The sequence below is a fragment of the Homo sapiens genome, chromosome 3, assembly GCF_000001405.40.
Source record: "Homo sapiens chromosome 3, GRCh38.p14 Primary Assembly".
In the NCBI taxonomy this organism is placed as follows: Eukaryota; Metazoa; Chordata; class Mammalia; order Primates; family Hominidae; genus Homo; species Homo sapiens.
In genome coordinates this window covers 156600270-156606269 of record NC_000003.12, presented here as the reverse complement: position 1 = coordinate 156606269, position 6000 = coordinate 156600270, and positions in this window count along the sequence as shown.

Here is a 6000-nt window from a genome sequence, read left to right as displayed (position 1 = left end):
GGTCGGCCGGCCGGCCGGCCGGCTGGCTCCCCACCGCCCTGGTGAAATGGTTTGTCCCCAGTCGCAAGCTGTTTGGGTTGTTTGGAAATGTCTTTTCCTTGCCTGCGCCTCACCCTGAGCACATCCCCTTGCTTCTGGTAATAGCCTTCTAATAATCGCACGTTCGGCACGTCCTGTGTACCGACCACTCTGGGAAAAGGAGCAGCAGGGAGGCTAGGCTAGGAGCGGCCTAATCCAGGCGCCAGGCGGTCTTTGGAGAAGGGCCCTGTCCTTTGGAGAAGTCTGAAGCTTGCTGGAAATGTTTGATGACCGTTTTCCACTAACTTTTGTCATGCAGAGCCCAGGCTGAAAAAAGCTAGTCATCACATTCCAGTGTGGTCAAGGAGCGGTAAGGCGTGGATCTGAGCTTTCCTGATCCCCTGGTCCCTCTCAGAGCCCCAGTCCCCACCCTCTCCAGCCCTCAGCAGAGGAGAGAAGTGGCCGGGTGCTGGGAGGGGCTGAGGCCCGTTACTAATGAGTGTGACTTGGAAGCTGGACAGGAGAACTGCTTGCTGGTGTACATGTTCCCCCACCCCCACTGCTTTAAGATAAAAAGCAGGAGCCCCCAGAAGGGAAAATACGTGGCCTTTTTTTTTTTTTTTTCCTTTTGGACCTTGGAAACCAAGTGATAAAATAACAGTAATGCGAATGAAACTCTCCCTGAAACACTAATAAGAAAACTAATTGCAGATTCTAGGACAAGTCTCTCAGTGCCTCCAAGTGTTGCCATTTTGCTTACAAAGAAGTGAGATAAAGGGAGACAATGAAATACATTAAGTAGGTCATTGTGGGGGGAAAGTCTGAGTTCTAATGCACTTTCAGTTGTTTTTAGTCTCTTGATTATACCCAATGTTGACTGATACTGGAATCTTATTTCCATGATTGGACACAGTTACAATTTACCTCGATTAGTTATTAAGAATTGCAATGTAAATGTCAGATCGGTAGTACAGAAATTAAGTACAGATTTGCTCTTAGGCAGTTTTGCTTTTATTGGTTAACAGTATGGTGAACAGTAAAGAAAAAGATTGCTTGAAGCATAATTATGCAAATAGAAGCTGTTGCTATATGTTTCAAATGGATTATTTGTAGAAAAATCTATAGTCATCTACAGCAAATATTTAATTAATTTCCAGTCTTCTACTTGGCTAGGAACTTCATCAAATGAAGATGATGCAATCAGCACAAATTTATTGAGTGACACCTCTGTGTGGGATACTGTTCTGATCACCTTCTATTCACTCCATTATTGAAAGAGGAATTCCCCACCCTAAATAGTATGAGATAGTGGAACATCCAGCACCCAACACTGGACAGATGAGATTGATGGCAGTTTATGACTCACATAAGCTCACAGCCTAGGGGAGGACACAGGACACCATGCAGCGTCACTTGGGGTTGCACTCAGGAGTAGAGTGGACAAGCATGGCCTATGGGAGGCAAGTTCTGTAGCAACACAGGCTGGGGTGACCCCTGGTTCCCACTGGAGGATGAGTGGCTTATTTGAATAATTTCACAGGCTGGCAGGGAAGTAGAACCCCTTAGGTTGAAGACCAGGTAGCGTGCAGCTCATTTAGCTAATAGGGAAACTAGCCAGATGAGGAGCCTTTTCCACTGGGGAGGGCCTATCTGGCAAAAGCAGAACTCACAGTTAGTCTTTGGGGGCTCCAGGAAGCTCAAAGATGTCAAGGCAGCACAAAAAACTTTAGGCCTTACACTATAGATCCAAAAGAAGAGTAAGACATAGTCCTTGGCTGTAAAGAACTTGAGTTTTCTAGGCTGGGGTGGGAGTGGGGGTGCCAAACTATTATACATGGTTCTAACTGTAAATACAGGAGGACTTTTGAGCATATAGAGTAAAGTAGGTATAATAACAGCAGCAGACAGACTTCACAGAAAACATGGTGCTTGGCTAGAACTTCAAGGGTGAGTAGGATACGTGGTTGAGGGGAGTCAACCTGGGAAGGGGAAGCATTTTAGGAACGGAACAAGATGAGAATGGTCTTGCTGATGTTTCAAGACTGGTCTATTCATTTATTCAACATGTACTTATTAAGGGCCTGCTTGGCACATGGGCCTTCCAGGTTACAGGGTAAGAAAGAAACTCTAAGGACAGCATGTACCTTGCCAGTTGGACTGTTTGGTCCAAACTGGTGGTGAACTGTGTGGCAGTGGCGGCCAGGAAGGTGTTTAGCTGGGGCCTACCATTCACTGGTAGCCTCAAATGTGGACTTTGGTTGTAATCTCCAATGAGGTGGAACAACCCTGGAAAGATATCAGTGGGATATAAATATATTCAATTTGTAATTGTAATTGTTGTAAACACCCAAAATATACCACAATCTTAACACCCTCTTCAGCTTTTATTTTTTAATATACTAGGACCCTTAAAAAAAAAGGAAGTGGCCCTGGTGTCCCTTAACTTCTGGGAGGCCCTGCTAGCCAGACTGCTCCCCATCCTGCCAGAATGTGGTTGGCTCTTCTGGGCTCACCTCTGGACTCTCTCTTCTCAGGTCTGCACTGAGCATTCCCATTTTTGCACTCCTGGAGCACTTTGGGCTTGTTCTCTCCTGTGGAGCATTTAGTACTTAATGATCCTGCCAACTGAACTACCAGCATGTATGGGCAGCCACAATCAGGAAAAGATGCTTTTAAATTACTGAAGGGAGCACTCTGTTCTTTCCAGCACAGGGTGCTTATTTTCGGGTTGTCCAGCACGAGTGTGTACCCCCAAAGTTATTTATTGGAGACATGTTTCACCTCTTGTACTTGGCAACCAAAGCACAAAGATACATACCAACATGTTCTTAGGTTTGTTCTAATTTTATATCCCAAATGGCCTGAGAGAAAAGAAAGGGGTGTTCTTTGTCTCCAGGAAACTCAATGTGACTTAACTTTTTCTTCTTTAGTAAATTACTATGTACTTTGTGTTACTTATTTGTAATATATCAAATAAGTTAGCTGGTAAAATATAAAGAGAAAAAAAACCTCACCATATGTTCAAAGTCAACAACAATAATAACAAAAGAAAACTTTAAAAAAAAAATGGGGAGAAGAAAAAAAGGTTTACTGGATACAATTATCCCAACTGACAACAACTAAGTCCAAAAGCTATAACATAAATAGTTAAAATTCTCATGGCAAGGAATGAACTTGCCCCAAAATAAATGACTGTACAGATGAGCCCAAAGTGTTCCCGCACAAGCAAATTAATAGTTTGGTTTTCTAGGGGTAGATGTGCATAAACATCACATTAACTGTTCTGAGAACTGTTTGCAGATTTTAAAGACAACTGTGACCACTTTCATGATGACCCCATGGATGGTGATGTTCCCAGAACTGGACATCAGGAAATCTTTAAGTATGTACTAAATCAATTAGAAGGAAATCATGCTGACCCTAGAAGGGATTATGAGTTTAGTTGACACCTTAGTAGGAAAATGAAATATTCTGTTAATGACTCACTAAAGCATATAATGTCCTGGAACAGGGAATCACTGTACTGTACTTTCTTGCAAGAGGTGTAACATTTCAGATGCGCTCTTTGAGACTGGAGTTATTTGGGAAATGAGTACATGAAAATCATGAGACTGAGACAAATCACCACTTACACCCTGAAGAAATTCTGACCTCATCTGTAGACTGTGGTTTTCTTTGAAACCCTGAGTTGCTTTTGAACCATAATGTGTGCTTACGACTATCAAGTAGCTCTGACATGAAGCTTCAGGAGACACAAACCTTAGACATACCACAAAAATATGAGCTTAGAGGATACTACACAATAAAGTACTGTGGGAATTGTTGAAACCCTAGTGTCAGCTCTGGATCTATTGGCACTGCTCCTTTGCTCCTGATTGGCTGAAAGAGCTTTTGATCTGGTGGATTCTTGTGCCTAGGTCTACTCCACCTGGGACTAGAAGGTACCATGGGGTCCGTCTTCTCTCACACTCATAAAAATTGTACTATCTGGAGTCTAAGGCAGTTATATGTAAGAGGAATTACATAAACATAATGCACGTGTAACTTCATTTTGTTTTACATGATAAATTTTGCATAACTTTGTTTTACATTCAAACTTCTTTGTCTTTTAACCTGAAAGGAAGTCACAATTTACCAGTTCCACTCAAAGCCAGGATCAGGGTGAGGTGAATAAAGTACTCACCTTAGACACACAGTTTAAGGTAATGCAAAAAATACTCAGTAATCAAGGTAAAAAATATAAGTCCACATAACAACATCCTGGTCAATGATGAACCACATGTAAAATATAAAGATACCTTAAATATATTTTATCAGTTGGTGGCCCCATAAGATTATAGTGGAGCTGAAAATTCTTATCACCTAGGGACATTGTAGCTGTCGTAATGTCCTAGTGCAACAAATTACTCATGTATTTGTGGTGATGCTAGTGTAAACAAACTCACTGCACTACCAGTCATATAAAAGTATAGCAACAAAATCATGTTCAGTACATAATACTTGATCATGATAATAAATGACCATGTTACTGGTTTACTACACTACACTTTTTATCCTTATTTTAGAGTGTACTCTTTGTACTCTTTCTACTTATTAAAAAACAGTTAGCTGTAAAATGGCCTCAGGCAGGTCCTCCAGGAGGTATTCCAGAAGGAGGCATTGTTATCATAGGAGACGACAGCTCAATGTGTATTATCGCCCCTGAAAACCTTCCAGTGGGGTAGGATGTGGAGGTGGAAGGTAGTGATATTGATGTTCCTGACTCTGTGTAGGCCAAGTCTAAGTACATCTGTGTCTTAGTTTTTAACAACAACAAAAAAAAATGTTTAAAAACTTTTTTTAAAGCTTTTAAAGATAGAAAAAAAAAGCTTGTGAGATAAAGATATAAAGAAAATATTTTTGTACAGCTGTACAATGTGTTGTGTTTTAAGCTGTGTTGTTATAAATACATCTGAAAGTTTTTTAAAATTAAAAGTTTATAAAGTAGAAAAGTTACAGCTAGCCAAGGTCAATGTATTATTGAAGAGAGAAAACTTTTATAATAAACTTAGTGTAGCCTAAATGATACGTGTAGATAAACAACATGTGTGCTACAACTGCCTATAGTACTCAGTACAGTAACGTAATGTATAGGTTTGTAGCCTAGGAGGAATAGGTTATACCATATAGCCTGTGTGTGTAGTTGGCGATACCATTTAGGCTTGTGTAACTACATTCTATGATGTTTGCACAATGACAGAATCACCTAGTGATGAATTTCTCAGAATGTATCCCGATCATTAAGCAATTCATGACTTTATTTTAATGCAATGCTTTAAAAAACCAAATTGGCAAACCATGGCTCACAGGTCACTTGCCTATTTTTGTAAATAAAGTTTTGTTGGAACCAGGGCCAGGATTAGGGTGAGGCAAATGAGACAAGGTCATGCAAATGCAGGGTTAGATCCTGTTATTTAAATTTTTATAGTTTGTTCATCATTGAATTTTTGCATTAATTTCATTTTTAAAAAACCATCTCATATATCTAAGTTGCCTTTCAACCTTCCTCCCATTTCCATCAATCTAGGCAGTGACCGAGTCATCCTAGATTAACAGTACAGTATCAATTAGTGGCTAGTGCACAAAGCTGACCACCTACCATCAATTTTTTCCTTCTTCCTTCTTAGGGATGTGATCAAGTTCAACATTGTTCTCTCATTATCCTGTCTTTCCCAGTGCATGCGCGCGCGCGCGCACACACACACACACACTTTTTTTTTTTTTTTTTGAAACAGGGTCTCACTCTGTCACCCAAGCTGGAATGCAGTGGCTCAATTGTAGTTCACTGCAGCCTCAATCTTCCAGGCTCAAGCGATCCTCCTACCTCAGCCTCCTGAGTAGCTGGAACCACAGGTGAGCACCACCGTGCTTGATTTTTTTTTTTTAATATTTAGTAGAGATGAGGTCTTGCTGTGTTGCCCACACTGGTCTCACACTCCTGAG